Raw genomic sequence first — 26,912 nt, forward strand, 5'->3', positions numbered from 1 at the left:
AGGAATATTTTTAAATACGGTTTTCAAACAATGTGTGATATTTAACTTGTGATTCCTTATATAACTTTTTGTATGACATATACTATATATGACACCTTTTTCCAAATAAGCTGTAAATTGTTTGAGGACAGTTATCAGTCACTCATTCATCAACTATTTATTGAAAACCTACTATTCATCATAGGCACTGGGAGATACAATAGTGAATAAAACAGCCATTTTTCTCATGGCTGCCTAAGAACACATGTGCTGGAGTCACATAAGCCTGGGATTGAATCTGTTTCCTACTATCCGTGTGACATTATGGGGGTAATAATGACATCTACCTCATAATTTTTTAAAAAACATGAGTTTTCAGACACAGATGAGCTCTCTCTGTTAGATACTATCAGAATAATACATAGTAGTAGTAGTTTTTTTTGCACTGTGTATCTTTGAGTGTCTAAATATGTGTTAAGTGTACTAAGTAAATATGTGAAAATTAGTTATGCAACTTAGCACTAAGGAATAGGTTAGGAAAAAGCTATTTGAGCTGGAAGTGAGTCTATTTCTCACTTCTAGGTTGTATTTTAACTGAAAAGGATTTTCAGGAAAAAAAAGTGACAAAACAAAGTTGATGAAAGTAAAATTATTATAAAGAATGTTCTTAGAAAAATATTTTAAAAACAACCATGTCCTTCCATTTATATCAAAGTAAAATTGAGGTTTCAGTGCTCCTTTAATAGCCAGCCCTTCTAAATATGTATATTTTTGGTAATGGCTTTGGGAGTACTCTTGAGACTATTAGACTTGAAAATAAAAGAGCTTCTTATGAGCTAACAAAGCTTCATTTGAGATGCAGGTGACAGTTTAAATGGCAGCAAAAGGAATTTAGAGATGAGATTAAGAGAAATGTGATATAAATTAAAAAATGGTGATCTTAAAATTTTTTAAACTTCTGGAACAAAAAATGTGAAAAATAGCAAATATCCTAAGGAAAATAATTTGTAAATATTTGCATTGTCTCACACAGCAAATGATCTAAACTTGAGATTGACTTAAATTGTGTTTGTCATTCTACTTGGCACTTTCTACCTGAGTATTTTGATGTATAAAGTATTTTTGCAAATTTCACATCATATGGTGTTTTCTAGCATAAGAATCTTTAAGTTCTTTATAACTTCATAAATCCAACAAAAACAGGATGGAAAATCATAACAATATATATATACAAAGTTTTAAGATTTCTATAGATTATGTAATTGCTGTACAGGTAGACCTAGTTACAACACAATAGAATGGCTCCAAAACAGCTTTTGTATTTGATTTAACAAGGGAACTGACAATAAAGACATTTTCCATATGGAAAAATTCTAGTCTGCCTGAATAATACACTGCATCAGGTCACATGGGGCTTCTTATACTAAGAAGGTGTTCAAAAAATTTATCAGCAGCCGGAGGTGTTCTTTACTGTGATTGAATAAAATAGATTTTCCTAAGAATATGTGAAAGGAACAATGAAGTAGAAAAAGTTTCCTACTTCTTCAAAACTGGGTGACTATAGCCACAATGAACTTGTTTGTTACCTGGCTGCAATTTCCTAAGAGGATTTTGTCTACTTTTGATACCTATTCAGGACTATTGCTAACTATACTACTTTAAAGGAGGCACAGTTTCTAAAGAGCAATATCATTTTACCTCATGAAAAAATAAAATCTCAAAATGTCAATGATATTTTTCTTATGCTAATATCATCACCCAGTCTTTTCTTATAAATTGAGTGATTTTATCAAGAGGAAATGGTGTACCCATAGAGTTATACGGATTATTAAGATAGTTTGGGTGTCTAAAGGATGCTTCAGTGGAAATGTCCTAGTCAATTACCTTTGGGTGTGAACCAAGAGAAAGATAAACTTCCATAAGGCTCTGGACAAATGTTCTAAGTCTGGATGACAGGCAAAATAAGTTGAAAGCTTTAATTTGCATTATTAAGGGATCAAAAATTTCAATTGTTGATCAAAGAGAAGCCTTTATCCATAAGGCCCGCAAGGCATTCTATGGGAATTTTCTAATTGTTTAACCTTTTTTATGTACCTTACAATGTTCTTCAGTTTTGATAATCCCATGGATGTTGAAAACTTTGAAATTATCTGAAGATCATTAAACTAGTATGACAGGATGAAAATACATATGATCTGATACTAGTCCAATGCCTTTCTTATAGAATTATAGAAAAAATTTGCAAAATAAGGGATACAAATTTAAGACAACAAGAAAGAAGTCTTCTTATCAAGATGGGGACGGAATATGTTTCTAATCCCTGATAACTGTTTTATATTTTTTATCTTAGTTAAAATTTAAACAAAGTGAAATGCATACTTTTAAGTGCATAAGTTAAATTTTTTTAAAAAAAATTTATATACCCATGTAGACATAATCCTAATCAAGATATAGAACATTTCCATAACTCCAGGAAGCTTCCCCAAGCCCACTTCTAGTCAAGTATAGTACCCATAGGCAAACATTATTCTTATTTCTAATAACAAGAATAGATTTTGCCTACTCCTAAACTTGATAAAAGTGTATTTATAAAGTGTATACAATTTTTATCTGGCTTCTTTCACTTAATATTTTTTTACATCCATCAATTTTTAAAGTAAATATTAATAGTTTCTTTTTTGCATAGTAGTAATCCTTTGTATGATTTATTGCTCTAAGTAAATAACTATGAGTAAATTATTGGGTCATAGGGTAGGTATATGTTTAACTCTATAAGGACCTGTGAAACCTTTTCAGAAGTGACTCCAAAATTTTTCACGTCCACCAGCAAGGCATGGTAGTTTCATTTATTAACATTTTCATAAATATTTGGTACTTGTTGGTGTTTTTAATTTTATATGTTTTAGTATGTGAAACCAGAAAATCTGAGACAGGTCCGAAAAGAAAGTTATACCATGAAAGACAGAATATGTGTCTCAAAAAATAAAATTTCAAAAACAATTTTCAGATGCAGTGAGGTGAAGTTTTGTGTGAATGTGTGCCAGCAAAGCAGTGGAGGGACACTGTGGGCAGGTGTGCACTGGTGGGGCAGAAGCTCTCCAATGGTAATGTGGGGTCTGCCTGCAAAGGAACTATGGCAGTGACCCTTGGAAAGCACCTAAGTTGGGCAGCAGAGATTGTGTTGCAAGCAGCGTGGCTAGGCAAGGACTCTGGGAGAGAACAGCATACAGTGGTGCATTCAAACTGGTCCCCTCCCACAGCAAGATAACCCTGTTTTGTCCAGGTCCACCAGTCAACAAAGGCCAAGAGTATGGTAAATTTGGGGGCATGGGCAACAACGGCTATGCTCCACTACAGCTGTTTCCACGCCAAATGATATGGGCTCTGCACAGGCTGAAGTCTCATCCCTGCCAACTCTCCAAGCAGCTCTCTGCCACCTCAATTGTCTGTGGGGGTCATGGGGTCTTCTGTAGCTAGGACTCTGGTGGTCCTTGGTGAGAATGGGTCACTTCATGCCTATTCATCTCACTCCTTCCTGCAGAACAGCCTGGGGGCAGGAACTAGTCCTGGTGCCTGGAAATCCCACCCAAGGTTTCTGGCTTCCTCCCCCTTCATCCCAGCATTTGTGTCTTCCCTCTGTCCACTCTCAGTGCCTTTCTTCCAAAGATTTGCTCTAGTGTGCTGGTCTTCTTGGAGGCTTGGTCCCTGAGTGGAAAGAAGCTATTCTTAGCTACATCCAGTCAGCCATCTTGGCTGTTCTTGAGACCAGATTTCTGTAGTTTTGTAACATCACATCCTTATATAAATTTCCCTAAACAGGGTCCAGAAATTTCTATTCCTCCAGAGAGAATTTTATGACCACATCCCTGAATGACGACAGTCGTATTTCCCAGCTTCTGGCATATCCCTGCATTTTTCCTACAGATCTCCCAGTACTTGCAGGTCACAGGGCCACAGAGACTGTGGTAGAGTAACCTAGGGCCTTCTGAAGAGTAGGAGATGTAACAGTAAAGATGGGAGCAAAGCTCCTTTTGCAGCACAGGGAGACAAAGGCCAAACCCCATTTTAATGTTAGCATTTTCTAACCAAAGGGAAACTTATTATCTTGGAAGAAAGTTTCCATATTTACATTTGCCTTAATTTAAAAAAATACTTCACTCATGCAGACAATATAAAATAAATAATAAACATGTACAACATGTAAATTTTGATGACTGACAAACTAAATTGTGAAAGAAGGCTAAGAACGTGGAAGGTAGCCTCTGGAAAAAAACCTGAAGTAGATTAAAAAATTCATGAACTTTGTTTTCATTTAATAAATATTATCTAAATAACCTATTTTTGACTATACATACTGACTCAGAGGCTTTGATAAGTTTCTAAGAAGAAAAACGAGATTTTAAAGAAAGTGTATAAAAGTGTGCGTGCGTGTCTGTGTGTATATATACATTCTCCCTGTATTATCTGTGGCAGAAACGGTTGTCTGCTCAAAAACCACTCCCTCATTTTTCTTCCTCAAAGGTATTGCTGCAGGACTTTTTGTAGTTCAGCTAAAAATAGGGTTCTTTGACCCAGGGCCACAAAAATTCAGGCTTGCAGACATTTTGAATGGTGAGTAAGACAGGGTTTTATTGTGTGAAAAGGAAGAAAAGGGGGAAACAGGGACTCTTACAAGGACAGAGTTCATTCCCTCCTCTAAAGAGGCACATCTAACTGCCATTAGATGAAGGATAAGACGAGGACTGATCTTAACTGATTCCTGCTGATAGGTGGTGCTGTTTGGGGGAAATGGCAGTCAGGGCTCCATCAGAGGCCTATTTAAGGGTTCCCGGCAGAAGGGGCCATCATCAGAGGTTCCAGTTGCATCACCATTTGGAGTTTGACGGCCTGAAGGCAAGAACAGACAAATCGAGTTACTAGGAAAACATGTATCAAAACTTAACAAGGGGAGGGGTAAGGACAGCTTAAAAGTTCCAAGGCCTTTTACCAGTTTGCACAGGGAGAGGGAGGCCAAAAGCCTGACTGGTATTAAAAAAACTTTACCCTACTGCCGGCATGTTGGGCTTCTAGGTTCCCTTCCCCTGAGTCCAATCCTAAGCCAATCAGTTTAGGGTTTAAAAAATGAACTCTTTCCAGTTCTGAGGATGCATCTGAGGGGAGTGTCCCATAGCATGAAGACACAATTACCTATCTGTGAAGAGAGAACCAAGGAAGAGAAAGAAAAAAAGAAGGTGCCTTTTAAAGGAGTCCCAGGGGTTCAGGATGCATTGGAAAGGGGTACGGACTGAAGATGAATGGTTACCCATCTAGAAGAGGCGAGCAGGCATCCCTGGTTCCCTTCTCCTCCTGGTAGATACCCAGGGGTAAGTGAAGGAGAGAGGGAAAAGTGTCCTCTTTCTCTTTTCCATCCTTGCACCCCTGAGTTCCAGTGACCTTGGCAGGTGCCACCATGGATGTCAAAGCAACTTGCACCCATGAAGCAGGGGGGGGCTTAGGGGTTGAAATCATCCACTCTTACCCATGTACCGCCATCTCCCCTGATGTCAGTAGCCTTGGAGTTCCCTAGACCTCATTTATGCCAGGGATACTAACGTGGCCATTATCCATGAAACGAGAAGCCTGGGCTTGGCATAATCGGCAGGAATCAGCCACACTCACCCGTGCTCTGCCTTTTAACTTCTGTTATCATTTGCCTCTAGATCACTCAGATCCAGTTTTCCTTCCTAGGGCTTTGACCTGAAGTTTGGGATTAAGCTTGGGACAAAAATGTGTCTGGGGGGTTGCATGGGCTGAATGCTCAGGTGAAAGTGTGGAATTGAGTTCTCTTCCAACAAGGGAGAGAAAAGGATGTCTTGTGACACACTCAGATAGCTGGTGGCTATAGTTATGCTTGCTAGGATTTGGGTGCATGGTGCTTGACTTTGGTTAGCTCCCTTGGTCTTACTTTCCCAAAAAGGAAACCTCCAAGTGATGGGCATCCTATTTGTTACCATCACCTGGCAGGATTTGCAGGATAATTGCTCAGAACTAGAATATTGATCCAGATTTCTACATTACCCATCCCTTTTGTTCTTTCTGAGCTGCAGCTGGAAATTGTTTGTTGATTCACAGGAAGAAGCAGGGTTAGTCTAAAAATACAGGCAAAAACTTTAAAACCGCTAATGAATTTAGAATTTAAAGGCAAATGTATGATTAGTTTTGGAACATATTTTCTCTCTTTCCAGTCCTCAATTTTGCTAAAAAAAAAAACATAGGACTGAATGATTTGCAAAATAGACTTTAGTCTTATACTTGGCCTGATTATTTGCATTAAGGGCAGCAAGAATAATTATTTCCACATAAGCCTTTTGGATTGGCTTTGATGGAAGTTTCTTCCACAAGGAATCTCAGATAAGACCTTTTAAAGCTGAGGCCAACCATGGGTTTGTATCCTCAAATACCTGTGAGTTGGTTTATCCTTTCCTCTTAAGGTCCCGTAATAAACTTGGAGCTCCTGGACCCATTAGAAATTGACATTCTTTACTGACAATAGGTCAGGAACACTGTATAGGGACTGTGTAGACAAGGGTATCAGGCCAGTTTCCCCACTGGGCTTTTATTGGCTCTGCAAGTTGAGACTGACTCCTTAAAGGGAAGCATAGCCTTCCCATCAAAGCATTGGTAAAATAACCACTCTCTCCAATTGAGTTCCATTTCAGAAGAAAAATGGATCCTTACAGCACTGATGCAAACAACTATATTGCTATAAGAATACTCACAGATAGTTTTCAAATTTTAGAGGAACCAGGCAGAGAGAAACAAAGTCACAATAGTGAATACCTTTCTTAATTATTAAAGGCTTTAATATTTCAAAGTAAGTTTACTTAAATCTGAAAAAAAACAAGGATCAGCTATATTGCAAGCAAAAGTCAAAAATATTTGCTTCAGCTTCTTGAGTTCAGTCCATTTAGTTAACTCTTGTTTTGCTTGATATTCATGAATATTTTAGTTCTTTTAGAATCTTGTACATTTTTCTTTATTCCAATGTTACAATCTCCAAAGTTATCAGAAGCCTGCATTTGAGAGCACTTGTTAAAGTTCTACAGCTAATTATAAGCCATCTTTGAAAAGGATTCAAACAAGACAACAATTCTCTGTGAATATGAAAATGTCCAGAGTAGTTACAGTTAGAAACACGATTCAAAGTTTGGTTATCTCCATGGTTCACAAAAACTTAACATAACAACCTTAATTATGATTGATAGCATATACTCAGACACTGGAATTTTACAAATCCCATATAATTTTGGAACATATATTAGCATTATTCACGAACATACAACCTAAAGATTAAGATTGAGTATCATTTTGGCAATCCCATGTACCTAAACACGTCAAATAATCCTGTTTACCTCTTTTTTCTGGACACTTCAGGGGCCCTCTGCAGTATTCAAAAAGCCAAGCGCCAGGGAAGATAATTTTGAAACTGAAGTTTGATTTGGGGAAGGCTGTTAAATGTTCAAGGTTTAAAACACTTAATATTATGAAATGGAATCCAGATTACAATAAGTTATTTATTTTGCCAAAATGATGACCCAGAAGTTTTAAAAAAGAAAAAAGCTTTTATAACCCTTTACAAATTTTGCCAAAGAGCAGATTAGCGTCTTAGGAATACCTTGTTATGCTTTTATTTCAATGCTCAATTTACAGAAAAAACATATAATACCCTTATTTGAATTTAGTCAATATGTTCACACAGAGAACCTCTTCTGCAAGATTAATTGCCACAATTCTTCCACCACTTCTTTGAACCTTCAGCTTTTTCCTAATTTAACTCAAAACAGTCCTTTAACCCTAGGCGAAAGTTTATATTTCCATGCCTTCTTATAACCTTTTACTAGAAAACACATGTTCTTATACACCTTGCATGTAAATTATGCATGTTCTTATATACCTTGCATGTAAATCTATTTCTAGTTGTTTTAATTAACTCCTAGCAATTTTGAACTTTAAGGTAAAACTTGGTAAGTTGCTTTAATTGTGTGCTAACTGCAGCCAAAGTTTGCCTTCTTAAGGGTTTGGTTAGTTCCATATGTCCCAGGCCTTACCAATTGTGAAGCGTGCAAGTCAAATAGTTCTCAAAACTCAAAAAGCAGTTTGTAACCTCAAAACACTTAGCAAATCTTGCATCTGACCTGCATTTTACCAATAGTATTAAGAGCTGGTTTCATTTCTTAGAGAATAAAGTCACGTGAACTGAAATGTAACACCGATTTTATATTCCATTTACAAAATATTATATCCAAGTTCTTGTCTTTCTTTAGGCCAAATTAATTAGAGCTCTTTTTACAGACAATATACACACTGAGAGGCAGAATACCCAGTCACCGGGTGGGGCCCTTTAAGAGACAGGGCTAGGAAAACATGCGGATATTGAACCAGAAAGGGCTCATCCCCTAAGGTAGGATTGCTAAACAAAGCCTTGCCAAGTGGTTACCGGCCATGCCTCCAGGATGTAAAACAAGATGGAGGCTTGCAGCACAAACCATACAGACATGCAAAGCACACCAGATTGGCTGCAGCCCAAGACCAGCCCCACAAATACTTTTTCACAATTAAAGTTTTACAGAGAATATACACAGTGATAGCTGGGGGGCCTGGCCTAGTAAAACATTTTCTAGAAAAAAAAAAAAAAAAAAACTTTAAAGATTAACTGCTGACAGGGTGGAAAGGAGGAAAGAAAAAGAAACAGCTTAAAAATATCTGGGGAAGAATCTCTTATTCTTATGCAAATGGTTCCTCCACTGGGGAGACAAGTTTATTTGATGTGGGTTGGAGCTGACCTCCCTGATGCTGGGAGGAGGAGACTCCATTGGTGCGTGGCAGAAAACGCCAGCCAGCTGCCCATGGCACGTTGGGCCATGCGTCCGAGCTCTAGCAAGCAGGGGAGGGTGGAGGGGAACCTCTGCTTGCCCGTCCCTCCGGAAGAAGGACAGAAAAGGTCATGGAAAGGATGGGTTAGTTCCAGATCCCCAGGAGCAACAGAGCGTGGGGGTGCAGTTTCCCATAAGCTCAGAAGTCCAAGGATTTAAAGGCTTAAAAGTGACACCGAGAGGTTTTGAGTCCCCATTTCACTAACCGTTTCTCGACCTCCACGTTGGGCGCTAAAAATGTTGCAGGACTTTTCCTTAGTTCGGCTAAAGATGGCGTTCTTTTTCCCACGGCTATGAAAATTCAGGCTCGCAGACAATTTGAATGATGAGTAAGACAGGGTTTTATTGGGTGAAAAGGAAGAAAAGGGGGAAACAGAGACTCTTGAAAGGCCAGAGCCCCTGCTAGAGGGCTTCTCACCAAGCAAATTGAATTCCAGTTTCCACACAGGAAGAGGAAGGGCCAGGCTCCTCCCTGCTGCAAATGGCATGAAGCTGTGTGGCTCCACCCCAGTGCACATTCCCATTGCACAGGCTGGATGAAGTTTCTCCGGGGATTTTCCAGGGAACCCCCCTCCCCTTCCCACCTGGCTCTCTAAGTATCAGGTAAAAATTCCTTGATCTCTAGGAAAATGGGCACATGCTTACTGACAGACATGTGATCCAGTTCTGTCCTATAAAAAATAAGGATAATTTTTCTGGCGTGGAGTGCTTCCCTTTCAGATACAAGATGGGCATGGGAGAAAAATTCTACTCCATGACACTACCTCTTTTGTGCCTTTGGGTGCATTTTTATGAAATGTAGTAGATATAACCATTGAAACTATATTATGATTATGAGAAAAAGTCAGGAAAATTGCAGAGATAACTATTCAAAGCCCTGACCTTGTTAAGATACTAAACAAGTGCCTGCATCTTACTCTCTGAAAACTAGTTATTTGGGGAAAAAAAAAAAAAAAAACCTCTTATTTAAGCCTCAGTAAGTGCACATTATGCTTCTTATAGCCAATACATTTTTAAATTACATATTTTTTAAACTTTCATCTTATTTTTTACTCTGTGTAAATCTTTTTTCTTAGGTTTTTCTTTTGGAAAAACTTAAGTATTACTAGGAAGAAATACATAAGCCTGGGCAATTTATAAAGAAAAGAGGTTTATTTGGCTCATTATTCTGCAGGCTTGAGAAGAAGCAAGACAACAACATCTGCTTCTGATGGGGGCCTCAAGCTGCATCAATACATAGTGGAAGGTGAAGGGGAGGCAGCATGTGCAGAAGTAGCAAAGGGGTGGCAGGCAGATGCCAGGCTTTTATTTTTTTACAGCCAGCTCTTGCTGGAATTAAGAGCTAGAACTCACTCATTACCATAAGGACAGAACTAAGACATTCATGAGGGATCTGTCTTCATGACCTGAACGCCTCCCATTAGGCCCCCACCTCCAACACTGGGTATCAAATTTCAACATGAAATTTGGTGGATGACAAATATCTAAACTATAGTATGTGTGTGTGTGTATGTGTGTGTATATATACATACATATAAACATATATATACACACATATATATGTGTATATATACATATAAACATATATAAACATATATATACACACACACATGCACACACACACACATAATATTATATATATATGGTATTTAATGTTACCAAGATAAGGAGACAAAAAATGCCCAAATATGGCTCTATGGTAGTTGAAATGAGGCAAAACATTTGTGATAAAAGTTAGAAGAGGACTCAAATGTTGTAGGAAAAAAATCTGTGAACAGTTAAGAATGGGAGTGAACAGTGTGTCAAGGGTAGAGAGTAGAATGTGGAAGGTTTAGTGTGTTGCTACTGAGCTGTCACTACAATACAATTTAGTAAAAGTGGCAGGTATAATATTCTGTTAGAACACCTTGATACCAGCACAGATTGTTTATAGTATCTGCTTCAATTAGTTGGTGCTTAGACTGTACTGCTTGCTCATTATTTTGAGTATCCACAATGAATAGTGGCAAATAATGACTAAATTGAATGAAGTTCAAACCAAAGATTGTACAACAGTTCAGTCTTGAAAGAAAACCCTCAAATCCAAAGAGCAATGACACTCATGACTACTTGTTTTATTACCAGTTCCTCATGATTTGCGAAAAGCAACATTCCAGATTTTTGAAGTAAAAGTAATCTATAATAAATTACTATAAAAAGTGAATTTAAATGGACAAAGTGAATGGGAACATCTCAAGCCAAGATGGTAGCATGCCATCCTTTTCACCCTCTTTCAAGTTTGCATTAGCAAACCTAGCAATGGAAACCTGACTTCACATATTATTTTTAATCTATCCTCAAAACTGCTGCCTTCAACAAACCATTATGTAAATGGAATTTTCTTCAGGACTAGATTGGCATGTATGCCTTTGGTTGGTATTCAATTAGCACAAATTGTATATACTCTTTTCCAGTTATTTCTGCCTTACCTTGACCTACATTACTATATACTAGTTCAAAATTAGTGTTAATGGAGTTAGCTAATACAGCAACTGAAACTGATGTTATTCAATATAGAAGAGAAATAATAACATCAATATCTTATTCTCTTTACTCTGTCATACTTTTCACACATCATATTGTATAGTACCACGACTACATGGAATTCTAAAAAACTCAATACAATTTGACATTTTAAATGGAAAATTATGAGTAAATATAAATGATATATGAATTCTTAATGTATTCATATTTATTTTCAGAAATTTCACTCCAACTAGATTAAATGTACTTCAGCAGGAAATTTTGTTCTATTCTGTCAAAAAAAAAAAAATACCACAGAGAAGTAGTGTCAGTATATGGCAATGCTCATGTTCCAAGAGCTAATTTGATCGTCATCATATTGCTATTTGAATATCCTTTTGTCTTGCAGAATACAAGCACACGCAACTATTAACTGACAACTACAGAGTAAAGAAAGTGCAGAAATCATTGTTAGGTGAACGTATGGGTTATTTTCTTAAAAACACTCCAAAATTTTAAAATGTAATACGAAGTTCAAATGTTTTTGTTAACTTGAGAAAAGCTGTTACAACCCAGGTTAACTGTCAAGTATAAAATGAGCAATAATTCACGTACCTAGAAAATTTACAATGACAACATAGTAGACCAAAAACACATATTTAAATTACTTCATAAAGTAATTCAAGCCCTAGGTAATACCCCTTGTACCATATACATTTCATCATATGTTCAAGATATTCTCTTTTGTTTGTCGACCTTTTCCTATATGTAGTAAAAGCAATGAGTTCACTGGAAGAATTAAGTTCCATTATCTCTAAAAGAAGGTATCTTGGCTTATAACTAATCTATTTCCATTTTACTTTGCAAGGGAAAGATTAGTTGAAACAGAAGTGCATACAGAGTCTTAATGACAAATAAAAAAATAGTAGGATGTCAGGCAATCCACTGTATATCAGCACCTGACTCCAACCAAGCACACCCCCCAAAACACTTAGATTTTTACCATATGATTTTGTGACTTTACAAACAAGCTAGCCATATCCTACACTGTGTTTCAGTCATAGTTGAGACTTCTTTATTTCCTCTGGCTCTCCCAGGTTATTAGGAATGCTTTCCATTCTATCCTAAACATCTGGCTTGCTCCAGAGGTTCCTGAAAAATTAGTTGAATAATGCACAACTGTCCCTATTTTTTACATCAGTCAATTAACCGCATTAATCGCCAAAAGCTTCTGGGTCAGAAAGACTTGTTCAGTTTGTTTTGGAGTGTATTTTACTCCTCATTAAATAGAACATTAAAATTTAGTAGTCTCATTACCAAGATATAATTTGATTTATTCAAATTAAGTTCTGCAGAACGTAACACTAATGAACCTTTCATGTAATTCAGATTCTTATATTCAGGGTTATACTGTCAGAAGGGGAGTGGCATATCTTAGTACTAGATAGAAAAAGGACAGTGCTGGGGGAAGAACAGGCTGTTTCTATAAATGAATGTAAGTAGAAAATTGTCAACATTCATTTACCACTTGGTAAGCACTAAAGTGCCTGGTTCTCTGATGACAGAATGAGTAAGTGGTTGTTACTCTCCCTCTACTGGAGAGATGATGATGCACTGCTAGTTAACACCTTCTAAGTCCCTAAAGCACATCTACTTTAACTAGAATAGAGTTGCAATGAAGTTAAAACTTTTTCAGACCTATTTTTGATAGCTGGTAATGTTTCAATGTACAAGATAAAAAAGAATTGGAATTAGAGTAGAAGAGCATGCAAAAATCTAGAGCAGCAGAATAATTACTTAGAACCCAAGTAATTAAAATCTTCAACTATTCAGATAATTTTGTCCCCTTTCAAATTTTTTCATTTAAATTTTTAATTTTTCTGGGTACATAGTTCTATATATATGGGGTACACATGATGTTTTGATACAGGCATGCAATGTGAAATAAGCACATCATGGAGAATGGGGTATCTATCCATTCAAGCATTTATCTTTTGAGTTACACACAATCCAATTACAATTTTATCTCATATTCTACTTTGAGAAGAAGGACATACATGACATACATTTTTTAAAAAGAAGAAGAAAGCAAATAAAAATATTGCATTAGTAGTTCTTGAATCAAAGGCATGACAAAATGACAATAATGCTTTGGGAAGAGCACTATGCCAAAAGAGAGTGCAAGGCCAGTGGTATATGGAAGAAAGACAATAAAGAGGACATTCCAGTAATCCAAGTATGACTTCACAAGTCTGGAGTAGAGTGAATAGCAGAACAAGAGAGAAAAAGGAAAACCTGAGAGATACTTAAACAAAAAACATAAAAATCTGAGTTAGACATTGGACTTAGAAGAAAAAGAAATAAATGAATTTAAATAGCTTCAAAAATTTTACCTAGAAAACTGAAAATTACACAAATAATTTGGATAGAGAGGGGATCTACTTTAACTAGAACATTAATTTCAGTTTCAGACACTTTGAGTTTGAGATACCAGTATAATATTCATTTGGATATGTCCTCGGAAGTACTGCAATGCATGTTCATAGATATGTTAATTTGGGAATCATTTGCATGGAGAAGTAGTTGAAGAAATAAGAAAGAAGACAATGTGGTAAGCAGTGTGGTGATTTCTTAAATAATTTAAAACAATAGTACCATTCAACCCAGCAATCTCATTATTGGGTATATACCTGAAGGATTATAAATCGTTCTACCATAAAGACACATGCATGCATATATTCATCACAGCACTATTCACAACAGCAAAGACATGGAATCAATCTAAATGTCCAGCAATGGTAGACTGGATAAAGAAAATATGGTACATATACACCATGGAATACTATGCAGTCATAAAAAAGAATGAGATCATGTTCTTTGCAGCAAGATCAATGGAGCTGGAGGCCATTATCCTAAGCAAACTAATGCAGGAACAGAAAACCAAATACCACATGTTCTCACTCATCAGTGGGAGCTAAATAATAGGAACACATGGAAAGCAACACACACTGGGGCCTATCAAGAATAGGAGGGTGGGAGGAGGGAGAGGATCAGGAAAAATAACTAATGGTTAGTATGCTTAGCACCTGGATGATGAAATAATCTGTACAACAAACTCCCATGACACAAGTTTACCTATGTAAAAAACCTGCTCATGTACCCTTGAACCTAAGATATAAGTTAAAAAAAAAAAGAATAGTGGAGTACTTATGAAATTTAGAGTATACTCATAATTAAGTGGTAGAAAGAGAAAATGTAAGCAAAGGATGGAGTGGCAAAAAAGATGAGTATCAGGAAATTAAAATTCCATCAAAGCTAAGCATTGTGATTATTTCTAGGAAAATGAGATTGGTTAATAGCATTCAGAAATACAGAAACATTCCCTGGATTTGGTAAGAAAGCTGGTAATTTTTTAATGAATTGGCGGTGGAAATTAGACAGCTGTAACTTAATAGGGAGTGTATAGGAAATAGAGAATACGGGAAGTAATTGGCAACAAAATGAATGAAAGTTTGAATAAACTGTAGAAAAGGTAAGAATTGTTTAGGTCACTATGGTGATCACCAACTACAGTTCTTAAAAAATAACTTATATTTTCTTGTTAGACCACCAATTTCCAGTAGAAGACAAAAAGTTAGTGACTTGCTTTCTTTAAGGTTCTCTTGGAGAAGTTAAAAATATTTGTATCTTATGTGCACTGCTATGTAATAAGTAAAACCAAGCCAAAAAAAAAAACCCCTCATTTTATTTGAGTATCTCTAATGAAGATGGTTTTATACATTAAGAGGGCAAGGTAGAAATAACTTAATGCATAAGCCAAGAGGAGAAACTACATAGAAGAGCTAAATAAAAATTTTAAAAGGAGTTGTTAACACACACACGTGTGCATGCGAATCAAACCTGATAAACTGATTCCTGATAGAGCAGTACATTGAGTATCAATATGTGGTTCTTCCTTTCTTTAATTTTATATTAGGCCAAAACATCTTCCAGCATATCAAATCGTATCAAAATACTGTCACTCAATTTTAGAATTAGATATTCATCTATCATTTTGAAGCAGCTAGAATTCTGGTCCTTGTCTTCTCATTATACTAGTGAGATAACCAAGGAACTGAGAAGTTTCATAGCTTCTTCAGAGTGCCACAGAGAGTGAGGGAGCAAATCATGGCTCCAACTCAAGTTATGTGCTTTCTTATGCCACAAACTAATGCAGTTTCTTTGACAATTCTCAGTATTACCGTATTTCAGTCTGACTCATAGCACTAATTAGAAAACATTGTGAATAATCTGATATCAGGATTCCTAAATGTGGATTGTTGCTCATATTTAGAAATGTGATTAATATGTCTGATTTTAGGTAATGTTTTCTTCAAATAAATTTAATTAAAACATTGTAAAATAGAGGACTTTCCTCTTTCCCCATCTAATATGACATCTAATAGATAGGAAACTTAGTATACTATTTTTTATTGCAAAGGAAAGATCCTAATGTGCTGATCTCAATAAGATTTGAAAGAATAACTTGGTTATATATGAAAATATCTATTATTTTAAATAAAATTACCAAGCATATTTGTATAAGATCAAGATTAAGTTAATAAACAAGAAATTTTCATTTCACTATAAATTTTGCCCTGTCGAGTATATTGTAGAGAGTGGGTATAAAGCAAAGTAGACAAGCATGGAAACAAATGACTTGCTGGCCCACTCATATTTACATGAGTAGTGGTTCACAATTAATTCTACTTCTACTAAAGCAAAAATGCGATTTCATCATAGGGCCATCACTGCTTTCCCAAGCATCACCCACAAGTTGACTTTTATCCTGACTTTTTGTACCTTCACTCTCATTCCAACAGCTAATATCATGCCTCCCATGTTCTGTTGATGCAAGCATGCCCATCAGCCTGCTTTCTATATCCATTATACTGCCCCATGAATCCCATCTAAATTCCTACCTTAATGCCATTGTTCAATCTTTGCCCTCATCTGGAATGTAATGCTACCTTTCCAATCATAATTTTCCTACAAAGACTGTGTTATAAGTACCACCTCTCTGATTAAACTCTTTAACTACTCTTGAAATCAATGATGATTCCTTCCTTTAAATTTCTATTATTTCCTTTTACTCTTCATTTGACATTATATTTTAAAAATCATAACACAACAAACTCTGTTGTTTCCTTTAAATTATTTTACATATTAAAGAATTTTTTAACAAAAAAGATAAAACCATGACTCTCAGGCATGGAATAAACACATATTAAAGATCTAATTTAACCTATTAATGAAAAACTGGTAAGATGTTACAACTAATTCAAAGAAGAATAAAACATACAGACACATTTATAGATCAACAGTTTTAAAATGAATAGACAAATGGGGGCAAAACTAACTTCTACAATGGAAAAAGAAATTGAAATGCAATCTTTATAAGTCATAATTTTCATGTTTGTAGATAATAATTATTTCTATTTTATCAGTTATTTATAATTGCCACAGTTGTAATATAGCTGTTGTTGAATCTGAATCAGATAAGTCAGAAAGTTGTACTCTTTACAATATATCATTTTCCACTGAAACACATTTTTTTTCACATATCCTTTAGAATTTGGACTCTAGTTTCAAGATGTGACTATTTAAAAACAGTTTTATAATCTTTCCTTTAGATTGCTTAAGAATTCAAAGAAAAATTTTTAGAGTACCATTGATAATGACATACTTACGTCATTTGAGGGTTTACATGGTAATTGCAAAAAGTAAAGAAGTACAATGCCATGGTTTTTGAAAAATGTGCATAATCAAGCTCAAAATGCCACTGTGTCTCATTATAAAGTAATGAATTAGGGTGTTTTGGGTCACCTATGCATTTGTTTAATAGGAAGTTTCAAATGAAGACTATAAAAATATTTCAATATGTTTATTGAAATTTATTGCTCTGGAGTGATTTGGAGATTTAGCTCCTGGGAAACATTTTCCTACATGCCAGGGTGATAAATCTGGAGATCTTAACCTCACCTCACTGGAGAGGAATTTTTGGCATTCTAGAGTAAAGATGAGGTATCTCACTCCCTCTAGAGATGAGAAAAAGCGTATGTTCTAGTTGTCCCTTATAAGCTCTGAGTCTCATCATGTTAGAGATCCTCTTCTGTGATACAAACTCACTGCATATACTCGTAACATCTGGTTCTCACTATGTAGTCTGTGAAAATTGGACTCAGGAAGCCAGCAATAAGATACTTATTTTGCTACTGCTGTTCTGGCCATAATAATCTATTTTCCTGACACAGGGGTCTTTGTGACTTTATATGCTTATGTAGGGTGTGTGTGTGTGTGTGTGTGTGTGTGCGCGTGTGTCTGTGTGGGTGTGATGGAGGCAATGGAACTCAGACTGTGAACTTCTAGAATCACTGCCTCTGTTCTAAAAGCCCAACCAGTGACAAGATCCAGAATCATCATCCTGATAGATACTTTAGACACAGTAAACATCTACCACTGAGTGGCACCACATCGTAGGTACAACCACAGCAGATTTGGAGAGTGTGGTCAAGACCCTGGGCTACCTTACAGATTGCTACTCGGGCTACCAACATTGGTGGTAGTTTATTAAGCTCACAATAACAGAACCTCCATTGTAAGTGACTAAATTTTGTATGCATCTTATTACGGTATTTTATAGTTTCACTGTCTATGCAAAATAATAACATAAAGAAACAGAATGTGCTTCAAGGTAAGGGCTCACAGGAAAGTCACTCTAGAGTGGCAATATATATTGGAGTTATTTTGTATGTCCCAGAACTTAACTTTCTACTTTGAAGCTCTCTTTCTAATGACTCAATCAGTGAATTTTCTGAAAGAAAAAAAAATGTGATTTGAAAGGAATGAAGGAGAGCTGCTTGCTTACCCAGTTGGGTCTAGGAACCAGATTAGAAAAAGAAAGCAAACAAAGCAGGTCAAAAATACTATTGTGTCTCCTGCTTCTACTTTAGGATAGAAAGAAAAAGTAAAACGGTTAGTGAATCCTGGTCATGGCATATGATCATAATAGTAAATATTCATAAAGTCTTAATATTAACCAGGCACAGTACTAAACATATTTTACCTGTTAACTAATTTAATCATATCAATGGCCCAATGATATAAATACTATTATTATTCCATATGTTTCAGATGAAGAAACTGAGGTACAGAGACAGAAAGTGTCTTGCCCAAGTTTACACAGCTAGTAAGTAGTAAAATAAAAATTTAATCTCCAGCAATCTATCTTTAATATACATGCTATTGGCTGGGTGTGGTGGCTCACGCCTGTAATCCCAGCACTTTGGGAGACCATGGTTGTTGGATTACTTGAGGTCAGGAGTTCGAGACTAGCCTGGCCAACATGGTTAAACCCTGTCTCTACTAAAAATACAAAAATTAGCCAGGTGTGGTGGCGTGTGCCTATAATCCCAGCTACTCAAGAAGCTGAGGAAGGCGAATCGCTTGAAATCAAGAGGCAGAGGTTGCAGTGAGCCGAGATCGCACCACTGCACTCCAGCCTGGGCAACAGAGTGAGTGTAACTCCATCTCAAAAAAAAAAAAAAAAAATATATATATATATATATATATATATACATATATATATATATATGCTCTTAATCATGTCATCTATGATATACAGCTTTGAGTTGTTGTTTTATACTTCAGTTTTGAAGTGGGCAGGCTTTCTGTTCCAAGGAGTTGTTCAAACAATGCAATAATGTCTCCATCTTGAGAGCACATCTCAGGAGTCATTCAATAAGAATACTTATGTAACATATGGCTACTGCTATGCTTTGAATCTTTGTACCCCATGAAGCTCATGTTGAAACTTAATCATCAAGAGAACAGCATTAAAAAGTGGGGACTTTAAAAGGTGATTGAGTCATGAAGTTCCCACCCTTATGAATAGATTAATCTGTTCATGGATTAATGGTTGTTATGGGAATGGGTCAGTTATCATAAGAGTGGATCTGTTATTAAAGCCAGTTTAGTGTCTTTCTTGTCCTGTGATGCCTTTCACTGTGTTATAACACAGCACAAGACACTCACTAGAAGGCAATGAGATGTGGTCCCTCAACCTTGGACTTCCTGGTCTTCAGAATTATAAGAAATAAATGTATTTTCTTTATAAATTACCCAGTCTCAGGTATTCTGTTACAGCAACAAGAATAAGACGGAGACAGCTAATAGCCCTCTTTTCAGAGAAAACATTTATCAACACTCCCTACATTTCTGGAATAACATTTTAAAACTAAGCATATGCAGTGGTATTTTGCACATTTCTCCTTTTCTTTCTTTGAGCAGAATTCTTCAGCCCACCTGGGATTTACCTTAACTATTTTTAAGTTGCCATTTTGTGTTCTACAAAACTTACGAAAATATAAATATAAATATGGACCCTGTTTCTCACTGTTTTTTTTTTTTTATCTTGGCTCACTGCAACCTCCGCTTCCTGAGTTCAAGCGATTCTCCTGTCTCAGCCTCCTGAGTAGCTGGGATTACAGGTGCCCGCGACCATGCCCAGCTAATATTTGTGTATTTAGTAGACACGGTGTTTCACCGTGTTGGGCAGGCTGGTCTCGAACTCCTGACCTCAGGTGATCCACCCACCTTGGCCTCCCCAAAGTGCTTGGAGTACAGACGTGAGCCACTGTTCCTGGCTCTCAGTGTCTTTTAATCATTGCAGGAGATATAAACATAAATGCAACACACATACTAAACTACATGTAACTAAATGCTATGACTGGGCTCTAAAATATCAAGTATTAGTAAAGAAAAATAGATTTTTTAAAAGTATGAACTGTGCAATAAAGAAATTGGGATAATTCAGGTTGGTGTCATCAGATCAAAGTCTTTGATAGTAAAAATTAAAAAAAACCCCACAGAGTTGGAAATTTTCCCACACGTTCCTGGAAGACTTGTAGAATTTAGCTACTTCCCAAAACAAATTCACCCAAGAGAGAATACTCTTTCATGATTCCACAAGTTTATTGCGTTTCCTTCTGAAAGCTAGAGCAAGTACATCAGTCTGCTCAGATGCAAGATAAAAAAGGGCACTTCATGTAATTCCTCAAGCGTAACATTAATATAACGCTACTAATTTGTTTAGTTTGACCAATAAAAAGGATGAATTGTATGTCTTTCATCAAAAAAATATGGAAGTCTCACATTTTGCTAATGAGGATGTAAATTAGCACATCCTTTCTGGAAAGAAACCTAGTAAAATATCAAGTGCCTTAAAAAAAAGAATTCTCCCACCAATTTCTTTCTAGAAACCTATTTTTAAGTAAATAATCATATAAATAAAAATATTTATGCTCATTACTGTTCACACAATGTTATTTTTAATAGCACAGGAAATGAAATGACATAGTCGACTGGTCATATAAATTAGAATACATTTGTACAACAAAATAATATGCAGCAATTAAAATGAACTTTTGAAAAACTGTGAGGTAGAAAATGTTTCTGATATGACATTCAATAAAACCACCATGATTGAAAGTATATATACAATATGATCTTAACTTTGTAAATATATGTGTACCAAAATGACTAGAAGGAAACATAACACAATATTAACAACGGCTATCTCTCTTTGGAGTGCAATGGCAGTCAATATCTTTCTTCTTTTTATCTTTTTTAATAAAATGAACATATCTCAGCCTTAAAATTAGAAACCAAGCTTTTTTTTTTTTAACTTTATAAAAAGTAATGGTAATGCTGGACTGATTAAGGCTGAAGCTGACTAAAGGAAGTGAGAAAGGATAAAGCAAAAAGAAGGGAGCATGCCTGTGGCTTTAAGATTAGGGGGAATAAAAAAGGAGAAAGGGTAAGTACCATGAAAGTGAAATTAAATGAACTGAGACAGACTCACTGAGTGATAAATTACAAGTAAAGTAGCATCTTATTTCATGCATGCCAAATTTTACTCTTTATAGTGAGTGCCGGTAAGGATTCAATTTTCCAGCTATTGTTCCAGCATTTTTTATACCAACTATCACGTTCTCTTTCATAACTTTATTCATTTTTTTCCTCCATTGAACTATAATAATGCCTTCTTCCACAAACATATTACCTCAGAGTATGCAATTTTGAGCTGTTACTTTGGAAATTTAAAATACAGTTAATTAAGTTCCATAATACAAATTTTTGGCAAGAAACATATTTATCTTCTTATTTTTCTAGTTGGGCTAAATACATTTTGGCTCAATTGAAATCCTGAAGAGTCTCCATGACTCTCTTTGAAGCTGTGGAAATGTGTGTAAATTCATCATATGTTAGAATTCATTCCCAAATTCATAAACCTGTTGTGTAATTGACTTATAGTAACCTGCAAAACACCCTGTGGATGAATGACAACATAGGAGATTGGACAAAATGCCAGGATAGCGTTCTTATTTTTTATTTTATTATTTTTATTTTATGTATGTATATTTTCATTTTTGAGATAGTCTGGCACTGTCACCCAGGCCGATCTCGGCTCACTGCATCCTCTGCCTCCCGGGTTCAAGCTATTTTCCTGTCGTAGCCTCCGGAGTAGTTGGGATTACAGGCAAGCGCCACTACACCCGGCTAATTTTTGTATTTTTAGTAGAGATGGAGTTTTGCCATGTTGGCCAAGCTGGTTTGGAACTCCTGGCCTCAAGTGATCCGCCCTCCTCGGCCTCCCAAAGGATTGGGATTACAGGCGTGAGCTACTGCACCCAGCCAGAATATCATTTTTAAATCAAAGAAAAGAGAGTGATTTGTGATAAAACGAATCATTGTTTTTCTCTAGCAAAGATCAAACAGTCCATTTTTCTTCTTCAGATACTTTAATTTGATATAATACCTAAGTGATTTAAGAAATTCATCAATGTACTGTGCATTTATTACAGCTATAAAGGTAGATTTAGAAAGAAGAAATAAAAAATTCATTATACGTTTATTCAAACCCTGGAAATACACAGGCTTTAACTTCTAGTTATTTGGAAAAAGATAATTCAAACAAATATTTGATATCAATTTAACTTCACAAACCTTGAAGAAGCATTTTATAAAGTTGTACAAACTTTTCTGGTAAATGTTCAGTATACTTCTGAATATATATGCTTTATGTGCACATATATTTTTATTTCAATAACTATGCCCTTCCAGAGAAATTTATTCATAATATGTAATTGTACTATTTAAAAGTGTATATTGCATAGATCTGAAGAACATTGTTAGGATGGTGAAAATAATTCACAATGTGTATGGCTGTGACCCAAGTCAAAACATTAAATTTCCACATATCTTGCCAATTAAAATGTGTGGAAATTGGCCGGGCATGGTGGCTCACGCCTGTAATCCCAGCCCTTTGGGATAATCCCAGCACTTTGGGAGGCCAAGGTGGGCAGATCACAAGGTCAGGAGATGGAGACCAGCCTGGGCAGCTTAGTGAAACCCTGTCTCCACTAAAAATACAAAAAATTAGCCGGGCATGGTGGTGGGCGCCTATAATCCCAGCTACGCGGGAGGCTGAGGCAGGAGAATCGCTTGAACCTGGGAGGTGGAGGTTGCAGTGAGCCGAGATTGTGCCACTGCACTCCAGCTCGGGTGACAATGCAAGACTCCTTCTCAAAAAAAAAAAAAAAAAAAAAGTGTGGAAATTGATTTAAAATAGTAAAAAGAATAATCAAGTGATATCTTCCAGCCTTAAGGTTTGAAGTTATTGAACTTGTAATAAAATAATTATTTTTGAAAATTGATTTTTCAAATTTCTAAGGCTTAATTTAACCTAAAATCATAATCTGATTCTACCCCTTTTTTTATGTTACACTTATACAGAGGATCTAGTATTTCCAATCATCCTTCATTTTACTTTTCTTATGGGATCTTAAAAATGATTTCTAACCCATCCTTTCATGGGAAATGAGATGATTCTTCACACATTGTTGCTACTCATCAAGTCAGCATATCAAATGTCTTAGCTCAGAGTGCTATAACGAAATATCATAAACTGAATGGCTTAAACAACAAATATTTATTTCTCACAGTTCTTCTTGTATCCTCACGTAGCAGAAAGAGAGCCAGCTAGCTCTCTAGCTTCTTCTTATAAAGGCACTACTGCCATTCATGCCTCATGACTTAATTACATCTCCAAGGCCCCACCTCAAACTACCATCGCATGGTGATTAAAGTTTTGACATATGAATTTGTGCAGGACACAAACATACAATTCATTTCACCAAGTAATGACTGTAAATCCTGCTTGGAAACATTGCACTGTAAAAACACAGTATTATATTTGCTTTACTTAATAAACATCTGGTCATGTTTTTATTTATTTACAGATCTTTAGTTCATTACAGCTTTTTCATTTTTATTCCCTTAAAGAAAATAAATTTTTAAAAAAATTTTGTCTTTTTATTTCAAATCAGTAAGACAAGTAAAATTATAAAAATTCCATTATTTTTAAGACCAAACACTTTACACTTATTTTCTTTTTAGTATTCCATAGTTGGTAATTAAGCTTGATTAAGATTCTTTCCACACTCCAGGAATGTGTCACTCTTGGCTTTTTTATTTAGAAGACAGTAAACCTAGTTTTTTTTTGTTTTGTTTTGTTTTTTTAACCAGTAATGTATGACTAGATTAGTGGCAAGGCAATTAATTTAGGTAATACATGTCCAAATCTTATTGGATGAATGCTTAGGTATAAATCTAATTCCTTCTATCATATACCGATAGGAAGGAAATTATAAAATATTACATTGTTATTATTTAATTACTCTTTTCATTAGACAACTATTTGACACCCCAATATCAATTACATTCAGCACAGGCAATGTCAATTTTATAATTCATATAAAATGATTTATGTGATCAATGGAATGATGAGGTAAACAAAAGAATGGATACAAAAGAAAGGATCTGTAGTGTATGCCTTATACTTGATACTGGAAATGCTAAATTGTAATGGTTGTTCTGGACTGGCTCAAAGCAGCTTAACGCCAGGTCAGAAGATGAATAATGAAGTATCTGATTGGTTTGGGTCAACCTGAGGTGATTGGGACTCCAAATAACCCAGACCTGTAGGTCCATTTTGATGGCTACATAAATCTCCAAATCATTCCATAATTTTTTGAAATACAAATTATCTACTGGTGGGAATAAATTAACCTAGGTTTAGAGCCCCACAGATAGGCCAGAATGATTGTTAGAAGTCAAAGAATAAAGGAAATCTGTCAAGTAACTTATTCGTTAGGCTTCTCTTATTCAGTGTTAGTCTTTTTCAAGATTATATACTAACACAGAAAAACACCAAGAAGATACAAGTGACAGCTTCTTAATTAGTGGACGTTTAGTTTTTGCTTTGCACGTGTGAATGAGAGGTGATCATGTAATTTTTAAAGACAAATAAACAACAACAAAAAACCCTTTTGAATTTAAAGGCAAATGGTGGTAAAAAATATCAGAGCACTATATATTTAGGCTAAAGATGAATAAAAACCATCAAAGTACTGTATGTCTATGTAATTTGCTTTTTAACAATTGTAAAGGCAGGGAGAATTATGGTAAAAATACTTGTCTAAATTATGAAAAAAAATATGTCAGATTAAAGGGAATGAAGGCAAAATCTTATTAGTTCAATATATGCTATTTGAAAATATTTAATGCCAAAGTCCTTCAACTTTTCTCTATTATCACTTGATGAGCAGGCTAAGCTTGCATTTTAAAGAGAATTGTATTGATAAATGTATGAACTTATTTTAACATTGGTTTCAACATCAGCTAATCAAAACATTTAGAGGTGAGATGTAATTTCTAAAATATACTGTATGAAATAATTTATGCTGATGCTAGCAATTACATGGATGATCTGTAATCAAGAGTCTAGAGCAATTTAGGAAGAAATAATGAAGCAGAGTAGAAGCTTATGTGACCTATACATTAGTCACCACTTCTATTTCCTTACAATTACATCTTCATCCAACCCTAAAAAGAATTCACAAAAGAATAGTTAGCATTTCCTCTCTTGTCAAATAATTCCGTAGTTATGTATAACTGGTCTTGAGAAGCTTTTCAAGGCAATACTCCAGTTTATCTCTTTCAAGACTATGGAAGATATGCAAGGTTATAACCAGGTATATTTTCATACAGGCACTTAACACCTACTTTATATATTTGTTATCCAATTTTATTTCCCTGGCTCCAGTTTCTTTATGGCCACAGTGAAGTCTTCATAAAAATGAACATTTTTATCAAATAACATTGTCCTAAACATCTGAGTTTCCAAAATGGGAAAAGGAGGTAAGGTAAATGGAAATTATATTTAAAATGTTACAAGACAGATATGTAGGCATGAACACCATTTGCATTCTAAAATGGTTTAGACTAATACTTCTCAAAGTTTAATGTTGAATTGTTTATAACACAAAGGATAAATGCTTGAGGGGATGGAGACCCCATTCTCCATAATGTGATTATCTGACATTGCATGCCTATATCAAAACATCTCATGTATCCCATAAATATATACATTTACTGTGTACTCACAAAAATTAAAGGTACAAAAAATTAAAAAGCTTACTGTGCATACGGAACATTTAGGTACCTTGTTACAATGCACAATCTGATATATTTATATTTATATGAGCTTTGTAATCAGACAGATTTGTGTTCTAATCATGGCTCTGCCACTTATTACCTATAAGTGACAATAACATCTCTGAGCTTTAGATTCCACATTTTTAAATAAAAATAATAATATTAACCTCATAGAGTCATTATGAGGTTAAAATAACAATGAATTTATGTAAATTGTCTAGCAGGGTGTCTGATATATATGAGGGGTCCAATGGTGTGCGGTAAATATTTAATATCCAGCTTTCTGAAAAAGAGAAAAGCTTTAATTTGTAGAGTTTGTCAATTTCCGAAGTGTAACTATTTCCATTGTGTAAAGATGCCCACTATGGACAATTTCAGGTTATCTATGTGATGTCACTGAACACAGAGTTGGGAAGATATGTTTATAATTAGCTCTCATAAGCTTGTGTCAGCTAGCTCCAGCACACCACTGGAAGGTCACAATAAATGGCTATCTAACATTCTAATTGTTAAAAGTGTCAGGTTAATGTTGAAAATGTGATCAAGAGCATTACATTATTTGTCTGTATTCAGAACAATGGTTGCATTCTATCACAAGTTTTACAATAATTATGGCAATGTTGTAATCTGGAATTTAAATAGAGGTATGCATATCTAAATCAAGGTTTCTTCTTTTGTCACAAGAAACAATACTGATTCATCAAGGATTTGATAGAGCAACAAAGTAGAACTCATTATAAAATATAGTTTCATAGTAGACAATTTGGGTTTATATTTAATAGGTTTTCATTTGAAATTTAATATCAGAAATGTATATGATCAATTTATAGTATTAATTGCATTTATGTCATTTATATTTTTATATTATTTAAATGTGTTTATGGCAGAGCTCATTATTTGCCATCAGAATATTTCTCTTGC

General features: G+C 35.3%; 1 long non-coding RNA gene across 1 annotated transcript; it reads right to left on the reverse strand.

The window, feature by feature from the left end:
- Positions 1-4,581: 4,581 nt before the first annotated feature.
- Positions 4,582-9,319, reverse strand: LOC124905233 (uncharacterized). The gene is made up of 2 exons (XR_007068363.1): positions 9,098-9,319; positions 4,582-4,866 (listed from the first exon to the last, which is right to left on the reverse strand). It is a non-coding gene; the product is annotated as an uncharacterized LOC124905233 (long non-coding RNA).
- Positions 9,320-26,912: the final 17,593 nt, after the last annotated feature.

The sequence above is a fragment of the Homo sapiens genome, chromosome X (assembly GCF_000001405.40).
Source record: "Homo sapiens chromosome X, GRCh38.p14 Primary Assembly".
NCBI classification, from domain to species: domain Eukaryota; kingdom Metazoa; phylum Chordata; class Mammalia; order Primates; family Hominidae; genus Homo; species Homo sapiens.